General features: G+C 42.1%; 1 protein-coding gene across 5 annotated transcripts in view, besides 2 other annotated features; it reads left to right on the top strand.

Moving 5' to 3' along the window:
- Positions 17,278 to 17,967: a silencer, noted in NCBI's record as "silent region_19953". NCBI's record gives its function as "represses an Ori minimal core promoter by ATAC-STARR-seq in GM12878 lymphoblastoid cells {active_cell/tissue: GM12878}" and the evidence as "EXISTENCE:reporter gene assay evidence [ECO:0000049][PMID:35858748]".
- Positions 17,362 to 20,601, top strand: part of CARNMT1 (carnosine N-methyltransferase 1) — a 47,641-nt gene continuing 44,401 nt past the window's right edge. For 3 of the 5 annotated variants that reach the window (NR_135282.1, XM_047422766.1, XM_011518223.3), the window contains exon 1: positions 17,362 to 17,780. Coding sequence is in view for 3 of the 5 variants with exons in the window: in XM_047422766.1 (XP_047278722.1) it covers positions 17,551 to 17,780 (230 nt within the window). In the remaining 2 variants the exon portion in view is untranslated. Of the gene's footprint in view, positions 17,781 to 18,640; positions 18,740 to 20,601 lie in introns of those variants that run through there. The other 2 variants (NM_152420.3, NM_001320497.2) reach the window with 2 other exon arrangements.
- Positions 18,618 to 18,667: an enhancer, noted in NCBI's record as "active region_28470". NCBI's record gives its function as "activates an Ori minimal core promoter by ATAC-STARR-seq in GM12878 lymphoblastoid cells {active_cell/tissue: GM12878}" and the evidence as "EXISTENCE:reporter gene assay evidence [ECO:0000049][PMID:35858748]".

Here is a 20,601-nt window from a genome sequence, read left to right as displayed (position 1 = left end):
CCTCACTTCCTCTCTCTCTTCACTCCACTTATGGAAACAGCCCCCAGATCCTATTATTTTTACTTCAGAAATCTCATATTCAGACTTTCATTTGTCTCTGCAACTACAGCCTTTGTTCAGAGCACCTTTGCTCATTCCCTGTCTAGTTTATTACAACAGCCTCTTAACTGGTGGCTTTGACAGTAATCTTCCTCTCTCCAGCCTACCCTGCACATAGCTGCCTGAGTTGTCTTTTTATTTTAAATTGTGAATTGTATCGTGCCACTCATTTGACTAAAAATATGCCATTTCTGTCATGTACCCCCTAATGTGTACGCTGGGAAGGGTACGCTACTTTTATAGTATTGTTGCTGAAAATGTGTACCCTTGATCTAATTATGAGAAAACAGCACATAAACCCAAATTAAGAAACATTCTATGAAACAAATGACCAGCACTCTTCCAAAGTGTCAAGGTCATGAAAGAAAAAGACTGAAGAACTGTCACAGACTGGAGAAGACTAAGTAGGCACAACAACTAAAGGCAATGCCAGATCCTGGACTGGATTCTGGAACAGTAAATGAACCTTAGTGAGAAAACTGGTGAAGTGCAAATAAATTCTGTAGTAGTGCTATGGTACCAATGTTTTAGTTTTGATCATTGTATATCATCAAGCAAAATGTTGACAGAGGAAGCTGGGTGAAAATGATATGAAGACCCTCTGTACTGCTCTTAGAAAATCCTAAAGTCCGAAATTATTTCACAAGGTGATGGAAAAGAAAGCAGGAAAAAAAAGTGTATCCCATTGCATCAAATTCTAATCAACTATATAGGCTTAGAGGAAAGAGAGAGAGAGAGAGTGAGAAAGAGAGACAGATAGAGGGGTGGGGAGCGTTGGAGAGAATATGAACGCATGTCTAGCAGGTACATGAGATGAGATGTGAATTTACAAGACAAACCATCAGCTCCCCCAAATGCACATATAGTATGAACATCCCACTGTGCTAAATGTGGTTTAACTCTTGAGAGAATGTGATGCCTAATTGCAAGTCAGTTACTTTATCTGGCACTCAACTGAAGAAACAGTGGTCTGTTCCAGCACTACAGGAAAAAATGATTGTGCTAATTTATTGGATGTGGCAGAGAAGCCCTCCCAATTTCCATCTGCCCCTTCTTCTTTAGCAATAAAAATCCTGGTTTTCAGATTAGAACATTGTCTCCCTGAGAAAAGAAATTTCAGTATTTCTCTGTGTATTTGGAAAAGGGTATAATGTAATAATAAAATGCAGAACTTTGGTGTCCATCATTTAGAACAGAATCAAATCTGGCTGTGTGATTTCAAGAAGCTAAGTCTTGAGACTTAGTCACCTTGTCTATAAAACAGAGATAATGACAAACTTGCTTTATAAAGTTGCTTTGAAGATTAAATTTTTTATCCTACACTTTACATTTATCACAGTAATCTGGCATAGGACACATGGCCTTTACATATTAGTTATTATTATTTAAAGATGTAAACAAAAGTCTAAAATTTGTAGCAGTGGAAGGCTAAGGGTAAGACATTCAAGTACAGCTGTTGGCTTATAGTTCTTTGGATATTGCGCTAATGTGTGTTCCAGTAATCCAGTAATCAACGGTTTTGAAATTGTGAGCTGGCACTCAGCTTTCCTTTTTCATTGTAGACTTTACTTCTTTGCTCACTCTTACATTCTCTACATTCTATCCACCAAATCATCTAATCACTCTAGTTTCCTAAAATGAAGAATCTATCCTTCTGATCTAGTGCCCAGAGAAGGGAAACTAGGAAGGAAAGATGAATATATTTGTCCGAGTGCCAATGCCAGCCCTCTCCCAGTCTGAAGACTTCTTTACCTGATGCACTTTTCATCTTTCATTTTCTCTCTCTTCTCTTCCTTCTGCCTCTATATAATTGATATCCCTATCAAATAGTTTAATTACTAAAATTAGGTAGATATATGTGTGTGGGGGGCAGGCAGGCTGTCACTCTGTCATCCAGGCTGGAGTACAGTGGTGTGATCTTGGCTCCCTGCCACCTCTGCCTTCCAGGTTCAAGTGATTCTCCTGCCTCAGCCTCCTTAGTAGCTGGGATTACAGACGAGCACCACCATGCCTGGCTAATTTTTGTATTTTTAGTAGAGATGGGATTTCACTAAGTTGGTCAAGCTGGTCTCGATCTCCCAACCTCAAGTGATCTACTCACCTCAGCCTCCCAAAGTGCTGGGATTACAGGCATGAGCCACTGCACTCGACCTAGATAGATACACCTTTTTTTTTTTTTTTTTTTTTTTTTTTTTCTGAGACAGAGTCTTGCTCTGTCGCCAGGCTGGAGTGCAGTAGCACAATCTCAGCGCACTGCAACCTCCGCCTCCCAGGTTCAAGCGATTCTCTTGCCTCAGCCTCCTGAGTAGCTGGGACTACAGGTGTGCACCACCACGCCCAGCTAATTTTTGTATTTTTAGTAGAGACAGGGTTTCACCCTGTTGGCCAGGTTGGTCTCAATCTCTTGACCTCAGGTGATCTGCCTGCCTCAGCCTCCCAAAGTGCTGGGATTACAGGTGTTAGCCACCACGCCCAGCCTAGATACACTTTTTTAACAGCCAGAAGTTATAAATAATTTCAGCCATAGGCTGGACGTGGTGGCTCATGCCTGTAATCCCAGCAGTTTGGGAGGCTAAGGCAGGTGGATGGCTTGAGCCCAGGAGTTCAAGACTAAAAACATTAAAAATTAGCTAGGTGTGGTGGTGAGTGCCTGTAGTACACTGGGAGGCTACTCAGGAGGCTGAGGTGGGAGGATCACCTGAACTTGGGAAGTCGAGGCTGGAGTGAGCCATGATTGCACCACTGCACTCCAGCCTGGGTGATGGGAGTGTGACCCTGTCTCAAAAAAAAAAAAAATTCTGTAGTATTCAAGCACCATTTTAAAAGTTGCCTTAAAACACACACACACACACACACACACACACACACACACACAGAGAACATCTATAGTCCAAAAACATGTTTCCAACCTGTGAGCGAAAAATTATTACAATAAAAGTAGTGATGAGGCCGGGCACGGTGGCTCACGGCTGTAATTTCATCACTTTGGGAGGCCAAGGCAGGTGGATCACCTGAGGTCAGAAGTTTGAGACCAGCCTGGCCAACGTTGTGAAAACCTGTTTCTACTAAAAATACAAAAATTAGCCAGGTATGGTGGCACCCACCTGTAGTCCCAGCTACTCGGGAGGCTGAGGCAGGAGAATCACTTGAACCTGGGAGGTGGAGGTTGCACTGAGCCGAGATCACACTACTGCACTCCAGCCTGGGCAACAGAGTGAGACTGTGTCTCAAAAAAATAAATAAATAAATAAAGTAATGGCCAGGCACGGTGGCTCACGCCTGTAATCCCAGCACTTTGGGAGGCTGAGGCGGGCGGATCACCTGAGATCGAGAGTTCAAGACCAGCCTGACCAACATGGAGAAACCCCATCTCTACTAAAAATACAAAATTAGCCAGGCATGGTGGCACATGCCTGTAATCCCAGCTACTCGGGAGGCCGAAGCAGGAGAATCGCTTGAACCCAGGAGGCGGAGGTTGCGGTGAACCAAGATCGTGCCATTGCACTCAGCCTGGGCAACAAGAGTGAAACTCTGTCTCAAAAAAAAAAAAAAAAAGTAGTGATGGATTACCTAAATTAGGGTATCAGCAGCAAGTCAATTTCTAGTTAGAAAAAAATCGTAAAATGTCATATATGCAACTGTAAGCAAAGCATCATGGTAGCATCATGTGAGAAATCAGGCCTGTTGGACTTCCTTGACCATTTAGTTGTTGTTGTTGTTGTTGTTGTTGTTTTTAGAGGCAGAATCTCACTCTGTCACCCAGGCTGGAGTACAGGGATGCCATCGGAACTCACTGCAACCTCAAACTCCTGGGCTTAAGGGATGCTCAGTCTCCCAAGTAGCTGGGATTACAGATGCATGTCACAGTGCCTGGCTAATTTTTTAAACTTTTTGTGGAGATGAGATCTTGTTATGTTGTTCAGGCTGGTCTTGAACTTCTCAGTTCAAGCGATCCTCTCACTTCAGACTCCCAAAGGTTTGGGAATACAGCCATGAGGCACCACGCCGGGCCTGACAATTAGTATTTTTATTTGGAATCACATACAGTGATGGAGGTGGGAGGCCATAATCTTTCAGTCATTAGATCCCCTAGCAGTCTTAATTCAGTCTGCTAGATTTGATAGAAATCAGAGGATAAGAGAGCAGGCCTGTGGGGCAGGAGGCATCAGAAGAAGGGGAAACCTACTTCCCTTATAAATTTCTAATAGTAATGCCTTTGTAACTCTAGCTATATCCTCTGGCATCTCTTTTGATTTTTCCCCTTATTCATCCCCTATATTCAACTCTGTCTTTTCTTTGAAAATATTATCTGGATTTTTGCTTTAATCCCTTCCCTTTGCTATTATTGTGTAGCCTAAACTTTTATCATGCCATTTCAGGATTCTTTAAACAATTTTCTCATCTGGTCTTCTTGATGACAGTTAATCCCCTGGCTCTTGTCTAATGAATCATTCTATACTACTACTTTCATCATATGACTCTAGTGCTTTAGAATCTAAAAAACGATCTCCATTGCTTAGTGATTTATCCAAACTTTTGGTTTGACTTGTAAAGTTCCTAATAGTTTTATACCACCTGAATTATTGAATGTGGTCTCTCCTGCTTCTTAACATGGTTTATAATCAGACAGGTCTTTACTTTCCTTTACTCCTTGCTCATGTCATTGTTCTTCCACTACACCAAAGGTTGTTGTATTTTGCTGTCCAGAATCAGTTTTACCTTTTGGTAATATTTCTCAGAATTTTTTGGGGAACCATCAGACCCTTACTTAGAGTCCATAAATTTGGATATGGCTGACTCCACAGCCAGCTCTAGGGTAGCATGTGACCCAAACCTGGCCAATCAGAGCACCTCAGTCCCTTGGTTACAGCACTTGAGTGAAGGGCACAAGATGCAACTTGGTCCAATCCAGCCCTGCCTAGAGCTTCTGTTAGAATTTTTAGAAAAGAATAGTGTTTGGGAAAGCCAAGAAATAGCAAGGGAGAAGTTCCTGATGATGATATAATTTGAGCCTCTAGATCTATCTATGCCTGATCTTTTTAGTTACAAACAATAAATCCTTCTGCCTTTTGGCTTAAACCTACTTGAATTGGCTTGCAAGGAGTACTCCTACCTCTTTGCTTCTTTGAGTTAAATTCACTCTTTGAGATCTAGCTGTCATGCCCCTTTCAAACTGTTCTTTCCTTTCCTTAATTCCCACTACACCCTCCTTAATCCATACTGTTTTAACACTAAATTGTCTCAACTGTCTAACATTTTCTAGTTTTGCTTTCCCAATGGGCCATAAGTTTACTGAGGGCTTGGACCATGAATTACATTTCTCTTAGTTCTCAAAGCTTAAGAATGTCTCATACTTAAGATGCAGATTGATAAATTCTTAAGATAAGTTACTTTTCTTTAAGAAATCAGTAGTAAGAATCTCAAAAACAAATGAAAACTGGGCAAATTATTGCTAATCAGGACCTAGATATTTAGGTAATTCTGTTCCATCTTCCTGATTTCAAAAGAAACACATCAGGAACGAAGGGAAAAATGATATTTGTTGGGCCTTTGGAGGGGCCCAGTAACAACTGTTTGTTTTAAAATGTAGATGTTATTATTTAGGTATGGTGAGGCCAGCAGATGATGAGATGACTGCCAATGAAGAGACAGCTTGTGACTCACAGTTCCCAAGAGGGAAGGGGCACAACAAGCCACACAGGGCCACACGGGGAAGCACCAGTGTCGGTCAGGAGGCAGAAGAAGCAAGAGGAAACCATGGGCATGAGCCTTTATCATCATTTCTACAGGAAAGAGAAGGGGAGGGGAGGGCAAGGGAGGAGAGGGAAGGGAAGGGGAAGAGAGGGAAGAGGAAGGGAAGGGAAGGGAGGGAAGGAGAGGGGAGGGGCAAGGCAAGGAAGGAGCAAGGCAAGAAAAAAGGCAAGGCAAGGAAGATGTAGGATTGCTTAGTTTTAATAATTTCAGCTGTCTCTGGGGTGTAGGGACTGTCCTGAGTTGCGTGGTACCTGACCCTAGGTTGATTAGGGCAGGGGAAAGTTGGCTTGTGTATAAGAGTTCGATAAAGGAGGTGGTTGGGGGATATGAGTTCTGGACTGTTCAATTTGCCAATGAAAGGCAGAGAGGAGTTGTTGACTATCTCTAGGAACTAGCTAGTCTGGGAAGAGTCAATCTCTCCCTGGCCAGTGAGGCTGCAGATGCCAGGGAATCAAGAATACTGAATATAAGAAGATATCTTTATACACTCCCCTCTTTCCCACTGGGCTCAGAAGAGATTAAACAATAAGACGAAGAAGAAACTGATGGTGGCCAAAATGTCTGCTCAATCACAGGCAATAAAGCTACACTGGAAGAAATATGTTAATGTGAGAGTAAAATGAGCCTCCTAACTCTATCCAGAAATAGTCAGGCTTACTCACATCATGATAGGCAGTACTAAATGAGGACAACTAGGAAGAATTTTATGGAATGAGTAACAGAGAAGAAATTGTGCTTGATATAAGCAAATGTAATCCTAGGAGGAAAAAATAAGGTCAGGGGCTGAGCCAAGCAAGCCTAGTTTATTCTTTCCAGATGTACCAATCAGACGAGTTGCTCTACCTTTCCCAAACAGGATGAGTAAAGAATAGAGGAAGCCAAGGACTGTCGCTTGACTGAACTCCCTTTCTGTGGAAGCCTCAAACATGAGAAAGAAATATCACTGCCCACCCCCCTCCACCAACACCAAGAAACACTGACTTTTCTAGAGATTTTCGGAAGATAAAATCCTGACACATTCCTAGTTATGGTTCCAGCTTCAAGGTTTTACATTTTAAATCCAGAGTTTTAACTAATTGACGTTCAGAAGAAGAGAAATTATTCAACCCACATAGGGGTCCATAGGTGGGTTCCTACACTATAAAATTTAGGGTGAACTTTCAGACTCTCTGGTATGTGGGAAATATCCTGCTATGGCTCTTGGTTGCATACTCTCCTACTTAGACTTTTTTTTGAAAGAGCGAGGGGAAGGGCCAATAGGCCCAGACACTGGGGAACTATCATCTGGCAGATATGTTAGTAATGAATGACCTAGACATGAAATTTGAGGCCTAGAAAGGCCTCAAGGTGGTATGGGAAAACAGGAGAAAGTCATTTACAGTAGCATTCATGTTTACTGTCAACATTTATTCATCTATGTTAGGGTCAGCAAATTATGTCCTATTGGCCAAATTCAATCAGTCACCTGTTTTGTTTTGTGTTTTAAGTTTTATTGGCCGGGCACTATGGCTCATGCCTGTAATTCCAGCACTTTGGGAGGCAGAGGCAAGCAGATCACTTGAGTCTAGGAGTTCAAGACCAACCTTGGCAACCTGGCAAAACCTCATCTTTATAAAAAATACGCAAAATTAGCTGGGCATGGTGGTGCATGCCTGTGGTCCCTGCTACTCAGGAGGCTGAGTAAGAGGATTGCCGGGGCCTGGGAGGTTGAGGCTCCAGTAAGCCAGTGTCACGCCATTGTACTCCAGCCTGGGTAACACAGTGAGACCCTATCTAAAAAAAAAAAAAACTTTTGTTGAAACGCAGTCACATCACTCCTTTTTGTGTTCTTTGTGATTGTTTGCATGCTATAACAGCAGATTTGAGTAGTTGTAAGGGTCTCATGGCCTGCAAAGCTGAAAATATTTGTGCACTGATTCTCTGTAGAACAGTGGTTACCAAGTTTTTGGCATCAGGGACTTGTTTCGTGAAAGACAATTTTTCCACGGACCCCGGGTTGCAGAGGGATGGTTTTGGGATGATTCAAGTGCATTACATTTATTGTGCACTTCCTTTCTATTATTATTACATTGTAATATATAATGAAATAATTATACAGCTCACCATAATGTGGAATCAATGGGAGCCCTGAGCTTGTTTTCCTGCAACTAGACAGTCCCATCTGGGGGTGATGGGAGACAATGGCAGATCATCAGGCATTAGATTCTCATAAGGAGCACACAACCTAGATCCCTCACATGCGCAGTACACAATAGGGTCCATGCTCCTATGAGAATGTAATGCCAAAGCTGATCTGAGAGGAGGTGGAGCTCAGGAGGCAATGTGAACGATGAGAAGTGGCTGTAAATTCAGATGAAGCTTCACTTGCTTGCCTGCCACTTACCTCCTGTGTGGCCTATTTCCTAACAGGCCACCGAATGATATTGGTCCATAGCCTGGGGGTTAGGGATCCCTGTTATAGAAGTTTGTCAATGCCTGCTCTATATATGTTCATTGTAGGTTTACAGATTGCCCTCACTGTGCAAGGGACAGTGCTATGAACAGGGACAACCTATGCCTTAAATGAGTTCACATTCTACTGGGAAACCAGATATTTTAGCAGTGTGAGAAACTTAGTAACTGAGGAAGGAGTGACTCTTTCGGGGATGATAAGGTAAGGGGTTGAGAGGGAAGTCATGGGATTGACTGGAAAGATGGCCCGTGGCCCACATGGGAAGGACATTGTATGTTATGTGAGGGAACGTAAGACTCTGTCCAATAAATAGTGGAACACCATTGAGGGATTTGAATCAGAAGAGTAACATAATCAATTCCCATTGGACAAAAAAAAGTTATTTATTGAAAAAAGAATAATCTGAAGTCACTCTATATCTAGTGGCACTGGAGGAAAGTCTGGAGGCTGGCAGATTAGTTAAAAAGTGTTGGCCCAATGACTGTACTATGCCAAGCCCTGCCCCAAATAATTTTTATGTAAGCGTATTGATTAGCAAGTAAAGCACACACTAGCATTTCGTTTGGCATACAGCATAGAACACAATAAAGTAAACTGAAGCCAAACATTAATTAAATACACGTATTTAGTTAGTTATGTTTATAGTGTGGGTATATATTAAATCAGAGAGAATGCATTCCTTGAAGAAGATTTAGTTGGGTTTTTTTCTGTTTAAACATGAAGATAAAGTTATTTTCACTTGTCTTCTTAGAAGCAAACTCTCCCATCTCTACCCCACTGTTCGCCTTTCTTCTTTCATTTTTAAATTTTTTATTAAAGACAGGGTCTCTCTCTGTTGCCTAGGTTGGAGTGCAGCAGTACAATCATAGCTCACTGCACCCTTGAACTCTTGGGCTCAGGTAATCCTCCTGCCTCAAGCCTCCAGAGTAGTTAGGGCTAATTTTTTAATTTCTTGCATGTTGCCCAGGCTGGTCTCAAACTGCTGACCCCGAGCAATCCTCCCACCTCAGACTTCCAAAGTGCTAGGATTACAGGTGTGAGACACTGTGCCCAGCCCACCTTTTTTTTTTTTTTTTTTTTTTTTTGAGACGGAGTCTCGGTCTGTCACCCAGGCTGGAGTGCAGTGGCGCGATCTCGGCTCACTGCAAGCTCCGCCTCCCGGGCTCACGCCATTCTTCTGCCTTAGCCTCCTGAGTAGCTGGGACTATGGGTACCTGCCACCATGCCTGGCTAATTTTTTTTTCTATTTTTAGTAGAGACGGGGTTTCACTGTGTTAGCCAGGATGGTCTCCATCTGACCTCGTGATCCGCCCACCTCGGCCTCCCAAAGTTCTGGGATTACAGTCGTGAGCCACCGCGCCTGGCCCATATGAGGGTTTAATCTATCAGTAAAAGGATTGAGATGTATATGTTCTGTTTTGTTTCTGGAGCAGTGCTTTTCAAAACTTTAACATGCCTGTGAATCACTTGGGGATCTTGTTTAAATGCAGATTCAGATTCAGTAGGTGAGGTCTGAGATACTGCATTCCTAACAGTATCCCAGGAGATATAAATGAGCTGGTCCATACTTTTGAGTAGCAAATGTGGACTGCAGGTATCACCCATTAAGCGTTGGGTAGAGGGGAACCTTCCAGAGACTGAAAGGATTTTAAATGGAGAGACAGGAGTCACGATAGGGTGTTAGAGTGATTCTGCTAATTCAAATACGATAGCCCAATCTTACCCTTTATTAATAATTTCAGAAAACATCAGGGCCAGATGATAAAAACAGGCCAAGATCTTGGAGACTGGCTTTGCAGTGAAGGTGGAAGTAGAAAGTATCTTTCTTACTTGTGTGAGGGTCTCAGACAAAACACAAATCTTTTGCTCTGAACATCCTGTGGTACTCCCATCTTTGCCACTAAAAGTAACTTAAAATAACAAAAATAATCTGTAAGATAAATATGAGGAAGTCCAACCAAATTCTGATATTTCCCCCCATGATTACTATTTTGATGCTTCTTGGGGAAGTAATAAATACATAATTCAGCCAAGCACAGTGGCTCACACCTTTAATCTCAGCATTTTGGGAGGCTAAGATGGGAGGATCACTTGAGTCCAGGAATTGGAGACCAGCCTGGGCAACATAGTGAGACCTTGCCTCTACAAAAAATAAATACAATTAGCAGGGCATCATGTTGCATGCCTGTGGTCCCAGCTACTTGGGAGGCTGAGGCTGGAGGATGGCTTGAACCCAGGAGGTAAAGGCTGCAATGAGCCATATTCATGCCACTGCACTCCAGGCTGGGCAACAGAGCAAGACCTGGTCTCAAATACATACATAAATACATATATACATATATACATACATACATACATATCTTCCCAAAATGTTTTATTTGGGTGCAGTTGTTTGGCTAATACCCTAAGCATGCATGAGAAAGCATTGAATAACGTCAGTTCAGTGTATTCTTTTAACTTGAAATGTTCCCCAACAGCAACAAAAAGATTTAAAGGTTATGGGATGGGAAGATATCTTTGTAGGGACCATTATAGGATCCCTAGAAAGAGAGACTTATTCCTAGCAGTACATACCCTGTGATGTTTTTCTGTAAACTAACTTAGCACTAATCAGTTACACAAAATCCATTTCACTTCACTTTTTAACCACCCCCTCAAAAATTAACAACAATAATAGAATTTTCATTCCAAGTTTGAGAATAACCATTGAGAGCATTAAAACTATGTGCATACAAACACTGCAACTGGGTTCTGGTTCCTGTGATTAAGAAAGAATATAAAAATTCACTAAAGGTGTTCTGTGAGTTACCAGGAGTAATAAGACAAAAAACAATTTAATTATCGTACAAAATATTTAAATAAAAAAACTCACCAAAGGCACAAAGTGACCATTTACAGGAATCATATCCCTAGCTCCATAGTGGAGAGCATTCTTATTATTTTAAGAGCAAATTATAATATCCTTCATGTGGATCCAGGGACTAGAACAAAGAATACAAAGACAAAACTAGCTAGATCTAAGTCAAAGACTTAGAACTCTATGCAAAGGTTTTGCATAAAGAACAGAATTAATAGAGGAATCCCAAGAGTAAAAATAATAAATCCTAGAATGACGATGAGAATTATAAGGGAGCCCTTGTATTAAGTGAAAAAAGCCCCTACTTGCCTTTGCCTTTTTCCTTGAGGTTTTAGCTCAACAGTAGTTTGAGTCATTGTTGATATATAAACCAGATTTTTAACATAAAGCATAAGAAATTGTTTATTTTCTCTATAAACATACTCTGTGGGCAATCTAGTCTTTCAGTTTTGGTCAGCAAAATATATATTTTCTTACCCAACTAAAATGCTAAATCACTGCAAACAATTATTTACAAATTAATAAGATTTCCAAAAGTAAAACAACTTCATGAAACTTATTTAAAGATAGACAAGACAAACTTCAGCAGAGGCAGTAGATCCAGTGGTTAATCATTTCCTGGGCTTGCTTTCAAATTGAGGCTTTACTTATTAACAGCTGTATGACTTTGAGCAAGGTACTTAATTATAGTGTGCTCACTGGTTTTTTAAAAAGTGTGTGTCGGGGGGGTCCCAGCTATTCCAACCTGGGCAACACAGCAAGTCCTTGTTTAAAAACAAACAAAAAACAAAAAAGATGATACTATTGTATTAAGTTATATGTAATGATATATTACAGGGTTTAGTGCAGTGTCTGGCACTTGTAAATTCATTTATTCATTTCAAAAAGTGGTTATAGAAAAATCTCACTTTGTTAGATGCTGGGGATACAGGCATGAACAAAACAGATATGCCTTCTGCCCTCAGACATACAGTCTACTAGGCAAGGCAGTTAAAAGGTCAGTTAAAACCAACATAATATATATTACAAACTTTCAATGAGGCATTTAGCTGGGAAATGTGAGGCTAATAAAAATATATTTAGTAGCTGCTAAACGTTAATGTTTAAAAATATGTATATATACTTAGGATTAATAGATGAGAAGACTTGCACATTTCAAAGCCCTTATTTACAAACATTTATTGATTATGAAACATCCTTGAAAATAATGAGGGAGTAACTTCGTTGGTATGACTGGGAAAACAAGTTGAGTCTTCCTGGTTCAGACAATAGAGCATGGAGTTTGGTGAGTTAACATTGATATAATTAATGGACCTTATCTGAAATTCACCAGATGGATGAATTTGTGAGTGGTATTCATTTGCGTGTGGGTTGGTGTGTATATTAATTTTTAAATTTTATTTTATATTTTGTGGGGCGGTCTCCTGAGCCAAAGTAGGCTGAGAGAAACGCCCTAATTTTTATGCAATTGTATCTCGTGTGTAGATTTGTGTGACCACTGCTATAGTCAACATACAGGACAGTTCTACTACAAGTTTCCCTTGAGCTACCCTTTCATAAACATAGACACCGCCCTTACTCCCCACCACCGCCAACCCCAAGCGACTAATCATCTGTTCTCCATCCCTATAATTTTGTCATTTTGAAAATGCTACATAAATGTAATCGTATTACTTGAAGCCAGGAGTTCAAAACAAGCCTGGGCAACCAAGCAAGGGCCCGTCTCACAAAAGAAAAAAAAAATCAGCCAGGTGTGGTGGTGCACATCTGTAGTCCCAGCTACTCACAGAGGCTGAGGCAGGAACATCGCTTGAACCAGGAGCTCAAGACTGCACTGGGCCACTGTCACACCACTGCATTTCAGCCTGGGTGAAACAGTGAGACCCTGTCTCTAAAAAAAAAAAAAATAAAGTAAAATAAATACAATCATACAGTATGTAACCCTTTGAGATTGCCCTTTTTTCCATTCAGCATAATCCCTTTGAGATTCTTCCAAATTATTACATATATCAAGAGTTCATTACTTTGTATTGCTGAGTAGCTACAGTTTGTTTAACCATTCATCTGCTGAAGGACATTTGGGTTGTTTTCAATTTCTGGCTTTTACAAATAAAGCTGCTATGAACTTTTATGTACAGGTTTTTGTGTGTACATGTTTTCATTTATCTGAGATAAATGTCTAAGAGCGTAATTGCTGGGTTGTATGGTAAGTGCACGTTCAGTTTTGTAAAAAAAAATCACTATACTCTTTGCATGACAGTTCCCAGTGGCCTTGGACTGATCAACTTCTCCCCAGTTTCTCACTTGTATTAATAGTTCTCAAGAATAACTGTAGAATGTGCTAGGAATGCAATATCCTGAGATAAGGAGGGACTGGCTGAAACAGCCCAGGCTCTGTTCCAGTCCCTCCTAGAAACAGGATGTCCTTCATCATTTTAGCCCAACATGTCATGTTGCCTCCAGAATATAAAACCCAAGATGGTCTGCTTTCCAGGGTCACTCAGCTGTGGTACAAATGGGGTACACACAAATGAGACTCCATCCTTCCGGGGCAACTTTCCTGAGTCTCGGGAGATTGGCTCACAGTGAATCCTATGCTTCGGTTTTCCCTTGTTGCCTAGCTGTAAATAATAAATTCACTTCATGTAACTTGTACACATGGGTGTTCTGTCTCACCAGACTCAGTTGGTAACCAGTGCACAGCAAACCTGCTTTGCACTCTTTTCCAGAGTGGCTGCACCGTGTTACATTTCCAGCAGCAGTGTGCAAATGTATGTAAGCAGTTTAAGTGCTTAACCAACAGTTCTTCAGAATAACTAACAAAAGCACGATGGTGCTTTTTACTTATTAATTCCTGGAGATTAATTGGTCTCCTTCTGATAAAAACATTCCAAATCTTTCAGCTCAAATCACTCTATGGTTTGGGAAGATATCAGTGGAAGAAACTCACTGCAAAGAAGTTAAGTCAAAGAAGTCCTAAGAAAAGTGTTTTAAAACAAGGCTAAAACTTTATTCTAAAGACAACTGAGAGTAGGGAAGGTAACTAAGATTTATTGAGCCTATATACCAGGCATTTTTCAGTCTTTATCTCATGTATTCCTCCCAATGACCCTGTAAAAAGGGTAATATGTCTATTTCATAAATATTACAATTGCCGAGCTTGGTGGCCCATGCCTGTAATCCTAGTACTTTGGAGGCCAAGGCAGAAATATCGCTTGAGCTCAGGAGTTCAAGATCAGCCTGGGCAAAATAATGAGACCTCATCTCTATTAAAAATTTAAAAAAACATTAGCTAGGAGTGGTGGCGCATGCCTGTTGTCCCAGCTACTCAGGAGGCTGAGGTGGGAGGATCACGTAAGGCCAGGAGGTCAAGGCTTCAGTAAGCCATGATCACATCACTGCCCTCCAGCCTGGGTGACAGAGCCAGACTCTGTACCCCACCCCACTCAAAAAAAAGTAAGAAAGAAAAGAAAAAGAAATATAAGAAATATTGCAATTGAAGCTTTACATAATGTTTCATACAGGTTATGGAATTACTAGGTGGTGAAGTGAGAGTGAGAGGCCCATACTTGTAGCTTCTGCTGCCTTCAGCTCAGGGCAAAGAAACATAGAAGGCAATCAACATGTTTGTTGAAAAAAAAAAAGAATAAATGAATGAGTGACTTAACTTCAGCTCTGCTATTTATGTGTCCCTGGGCAGGAAAATTAATTTCTTTGAGTCTATTTCTTCATTTCTTATAGCAAGATAATAATGACATCTAGTTCACAGAGCTAAGGGACAAATAAGGTGATAAACTGGGAAAACAATTTGAAAAATATTAATTAAACAAATGTTAGCTAGCATAATATTTAAAAAGTACAGTCACAGTCATAAACAAATATTGATAAATATAGGTATGAGAGGAGGGTGGGTGTATGAAGATCACTTAATATCTCTGATTCCCTGGTTTCCTCACCTGTAAGATCACAACTGAGTTTAAAGCTGAGCACCTTCATGACACAGACTCTAAGACTCACCAAGTTAGGAGACAGAGTCAAGGAAGCCTCTGCACATAACTTTAATTTGAAAATGTTTATTCTACCTCCGAGGATATTTCAAAGTATGGAGCTGATTATCTTTATCCATGACATTCTGGCCTTTATCAATTAGGTCATTCAGACCTATATCAATACATTTAATGAATTACAACATGTAAAACTTCTGTGCATGTGTACATGAGAACAGTATTAGAAACAGCTACTACTATGAGTGTTTATACATAACTTCCGAACAATTAGTGTTTGGAAAAATAGACATTAGATAGAAAATCTGGAAGAATGGGCAAGGAATTGGTATATTGTGTCTGGAGAGGAACATAGCTGGCTAGGGACAGGTAAAACAATTATTCACACTTGGCCGAGCGTGGCGGCTCACGCCTGTAATCCCAGCACTTTGGGAGGCCCAGGCAGGTGGATTGCCTGAGTTCAGGGAGACTAACCTGCGCAACATGGTGAAATCCCGTCTCTACTTTAGTATTTTCAAATACAAAAAATTAGCCAGGTGTGGTGGCGCATGCCTGTAATCCCAGCTACTCGGGATGCTGAGGCAGGAGAATCGCTTGAGCCTGGAAGGCCGGGAGGTTGCAGTGAGCTGAGATCGTGCCACTGCACTCCAGCCTGGGCAGCAGAGCGAGACTGTCTCCAATTCATATTTGTAATCCTTTGCACTTTCTTTTTGAATTTTGAAACATGTATTACTGCATTACTATTAATAGACTCACGTTTTAGAAAACTTTTATATAAAAATGTTGTCATTTTAAGCATTACCTTTATTTCAACTATTAATTTAAATTATGAAAATATGAAGCCACTTCACTTTCAATATGGTTGTAACTTTTTAACAGACTTTGTGGTCACTGGGCATATTTAACCCCTCGAATAAAGCAATCTTTCCCTTTTATCATTACTTTGTAAGACTCATTTGCTGGGTGGTGGATTAAATTGAACAGAATAAGTTATTTCTTTTTCTTTTCTTTTTTTTTTTTTTTTGAGACGCTGTCTCGCTCTGTCGCCCAGGCTGGATGGCACGATCTCGGCTCACTGCAAGCTCCGCCTCCCGGGTTCACGCCATTCTCCTGCCTCAGTCTCCAGAGCAGCTGCGACTACAGGCGCCAGCCACCAAGCCCGGCTAATTTTTTGTGTTTTTAGTAGAGACGGGGTTTCACCATGTAAGCCAGGATGGTCTTGATCTCCTGACCTCGTCATCCGCCCACCTAGGCCTTCCAAAGTGCTGGGATTACAAGCGTGATTCACCGCGCCCGGCCCCAGAATAAGTTATTTCCCAAGAGCCACCCTTAGATGCTGGTAGGTGTAATGGTCTTCCCAAGACCAGGTGCTGGATAGAAGGTCCTTGCATTTTCCTCATCTGTTGCCATCCTCAGTAAAGGAGGAATTAGGACTGCCGCAAGCCCCTAAAGACTGGAAAGATGGGACGGGCGCGATGGCTCACGCCTGTAATCCCAGCAATTTGGGAGGCCGAGGAGGGTGGATCGCCTGAGGCCAGGAATTCCAGACCAGCCTGGCCAACATGGTGAAACCCCATCTCTACTAAAAATACTAAAATTAGCCGGGCGTGGTGGCGCGCGCCTGTAATCCCAGCCACTCGGGAGGCAGAAGCAGGAGAATCGCTTGAACCCAGGAAGCAGAGGTTGCAATGAGCCGAGATCGCACCACTGCACTCCAGCCTGGGCGACAGAGTGGGGAAAAAAAAAAAAGTGAAAAGATGATGGCGCCCACTTCCGACCCCCTTAAGTAATTAAAAATAGGAATTCATTTAGGAAGTGAATTAAAACTTAAATTAGGGTGGATACAAGACGTTCCTTCTAGACTTTCTGAAATAAAAATTCCGAATAAAATCATCAAAGCCGAACTTTTCCTTTTTGCCTTTCCCTTCTTTGCTAGTGCCTGGGACCGCGTTCAGCCTCCAGCTCAACAATCCGGCACTCGCCGGCTTTTAAGTCCCACCCACGCGGCCGCGCACAGGTAACGGCAGTGCCAGTCCCACCCCACCTACGAGCTCCTCCTCCGCCTCCCACCAAGGGGCCTTGGCCCCGCCCTTGGAAGCGTGGTTGTGACGTCAGCGCGCTGTCTCCGAAGCCCGGCAGCAAATGAGCGCAGACCGCACGGGCCCTCCGCGTACCAAGGCACACGCATGCGCATTGGTTCTGGGAGCCCTGAAGACCTGGCGGAGCCCAGCGCGGATGGAGGCCTGAGGGTGGCGGGGGCGGAGCGCGCCGCGAGCTGGGGGCATGTCCGCGGCGGGCGCCGTCTAGAGGAAGGCCAAGCAGCCGCCACCACGCTGTCGGTCGCGGAGAGACGCAAGCGAGCCAGGCCGAGGGCCGCGGCGGCGATGCAGCGACGGCGTCGCCCTCCGCCGCCCACCTCCCGGCTGCCCGAGGGCTGCGGGGGAGGAGGCGGTGGCAGCGAGGAGGTGGAAGTGCAGTTTTCCGCCGGGCGTTGGGGCTCGGCCGCGGCGGTTTCGGCGGCAGCGGCGGCGGCCACGCGCAGCACCGAGGAGGAGGAGGAGAGGCTTGAGCGTGAGCACTTCTGGAAGATCATTAATGCCTTCCGCTACTACGGGTAAGGAGCCCGTGGCGGACCCCGGCCCAGACCGTCGGGGCGCCCACTGGTGGCGGCGGACCCGCCGGAACGGGGGCGCTCGCCGTCCCGCCGCCACGCCTCCGAGGCGTCGGGACCCGGCTGCTGCAGCTGACCTCCGGGCCCCGAGTCACCTCGCACCACCCCAGCCCCTCCCGGCCCTGCACACCCGCGTGTCCGCCGCGCCGTCTGCTGCACAGCCTCGTGTCTTCTGACCTCAGGATCAGATTAGCTCTCCTGCCTCCGTCCTCGTAAAGGTTTGGCTTTGAGGCCGATGGGGGTGACCAGAGAAGCGCTGTAACAATTTCAGATAGAAGACGATGGTGGTACAATCGTCCACTGCTGGGCTGATTGGTGTGTGTGGTCGATGTCCTCCAAACTGAACACACGGAGAGCCCAAGTTCACCTACGCGTGGGATGCTGTAGGACGTATTTTCCCAAACTGTTACCAGTGCTTGTAAGAGCAGTTTAAGATTTCCACCCACCCCTCTTTGGCGCTGTGAACGCACTTGCACTTTTGTGTGAGCGATTGAATGATGCTGCTCAGTGTCTTTAACTGGTGGGTGATTAAGGGCGGAAGTGGTCCGGATATTCTAAAATTTGCTAATTATTAGGAGAGATGAGAGAAGTCACAATAAGAGCTGCCTTTACGTTCTTTTTTTCTGCAAATCTGTATCTAATTCTCCCTGGTGTGCTAGGCACTGTGGTAGGACCTTTATGCTCCTCATTCATAAAAACAGCTCCCTAACTTCCACGTTTCTTCTAGATAGATGTTAAAGTAGCTTAATCACAAAATTATAATTCCAAGAGCTGAAAGGGACTTAAATCAACTGGATTTTCAGGTGAAGATAACACTTTTATTCACGTAAGAGATATGAGTCCACCGGTGACTATGTTCTGAGGCTGCAGTTGGAATCAGACAGACATGACCTCCTACGCAGGTAAACCTGTTCCCATAGGTGGGTTCCTGCTGTGCTTTATGCAAAGTTTTTTTATATTGTTCATCTTATGTATTATAGTTGTTTTTATAAATCTCTTGCTTTGCTGTGACCTCCTCAAGGGCAGGGGCTGAGTCTTTTTTATTTTTATGTCACTAGTGCTTGGCATATGTTGTTTAAGCTCTATTTTTAACAAAACAAATAGTAGCAAAGAAATACATTTCTCATTCCCAAATAGTCTGTCAAGTTTTTGACTGATAGTTAAATTAGTTTACTAGTCTGAATTTAGAAGCTTGCTTAGTGAAAGCTTAAAGTTATTTGGAATCTGATTGTATATGTGATAGGAACTTTTGAACTTCGAAGATCTTGATGAAATAATTTACTGATTAAACCCAGAAATAGGGACCAGGGACAGCATTACTTTACGGAGCCCAAAAGAGAAGTTTGGATATTTTATTTCTCCAGGTTTAGTAGTAACAGAGGGAGCAAGGCGTCAGACCATCAGAGAATTGAATTTGATGCAGGAATTGTGACGGAAAGAACCATAAAGTTAGGAAAGGCAGCTAACATCAGATAGCTAAGAGTGGGAGATACAGAAAAGTCTGGTACATTTTGCTCTTGAAAAATCTAGAAAGAATATTGGGAAATGTCTTGGGAATATGGTGGACCCATTTAGTTAAGTGCGTAGTTGTACTTACTTTTAATATATTAGGACCAATTTAAAATTGATATTTATGGGTAAGTATGGGATGGGACTTTGTTGGGGTAGGGGTTGATCAGGAACTGAAGTGTGGCAATATAGAGAAGAGATCTTGTGTGAATATTCTAGTGGTTGTGATACTATTTCCTATACTCTCTTCTTTACCAGCGTAATGTTGGATTCAGGACATTTCATTTTTTAAAAAAAACAGTTTTTATTTGTATATACTCTCTTGAAACACTTCAAATACTTGGGCTGAAAATAGTATAACATCAAAAATATGCTTTTTAAAATGTCACTTAAAGCCTAGGGGTACAGAAAGTTTATGTAGCAGAGAACAGTGGATTGTTACATTCTAATATTTTGTGATCTTCTAGACTTAAACTGTAGCCACTAATCATATCTGGATAAATTTAAGCTAAAATTAATTAGTATTTAATAAGCTTTAAAATTTAGTTGCTCAGTTTCACTACCCATATTTCAGGTGCTCAATAGCTACATGTGGCTAGAGTCTGCTGTACTGGACAGTGCAAATAAAAGCTTTTCCATTATCGAAGTAGGTTGTGATGGACAATCCGGTTCTACACATTTAGCAAGTACAGTTGACCCTTAAACAATATGGATCTGAACTGCACGGGTCCACTTATACACAAATTTTTTGAAATAAACATATTGGAAAATTGTTTTGACATTTGCAACAATTTGAAAAACTTAGCAAACTTGCATAGCCTAGAAATAGTGAAAAAATTAAGAAAAAATTATGCCATGAATGCATATGTGTAGATACTAGTTTATCATTTACTACCATAAAATATACACAAATCTATTATAAAAAGTTAAAATTTATCAAAACTTACACAAACACAGATCTTACATGGAGCTATTTGCAATTGAGATAAATGTAAACAAGCAAAGATGTAGCATTAAATCTTAGTTGCATAAAATTATCTGTAGTAGATACTGTACTACTGTAATAATTTTGTAGCCACTTCCTGTTGCTTTTGCAGTAAGCTCAGATGTTACCAGTATCTTCTTAAAATAATCACTCTGCTTTTGTCTGTCAAGTAAATTGCATATAGCAGTAAACAGATTTCATCAAATTTAATGCAATACCATAAACCTTAAATAACACCATGGGTCCCATATGACGTGCCACTGGTGATGC

This window comes from Homo sapiens, chromosome 9 (assembly GCF_000001405.40).
Source record: "Homo sapiens chromosome 9, GRCh38.p14 Primary Assembly".
In the NCBI taxonomy this organism is placed as follows: Eukaryota; Metazoa; Chordata; class Mammalia; order Primates; family Hominidae; genus Homo; species Homo sapiens.
Note: the sequence above shows the minus strand (reverse complement) of the source record. Positions and strands in the feature narration are given on the sequence as shown.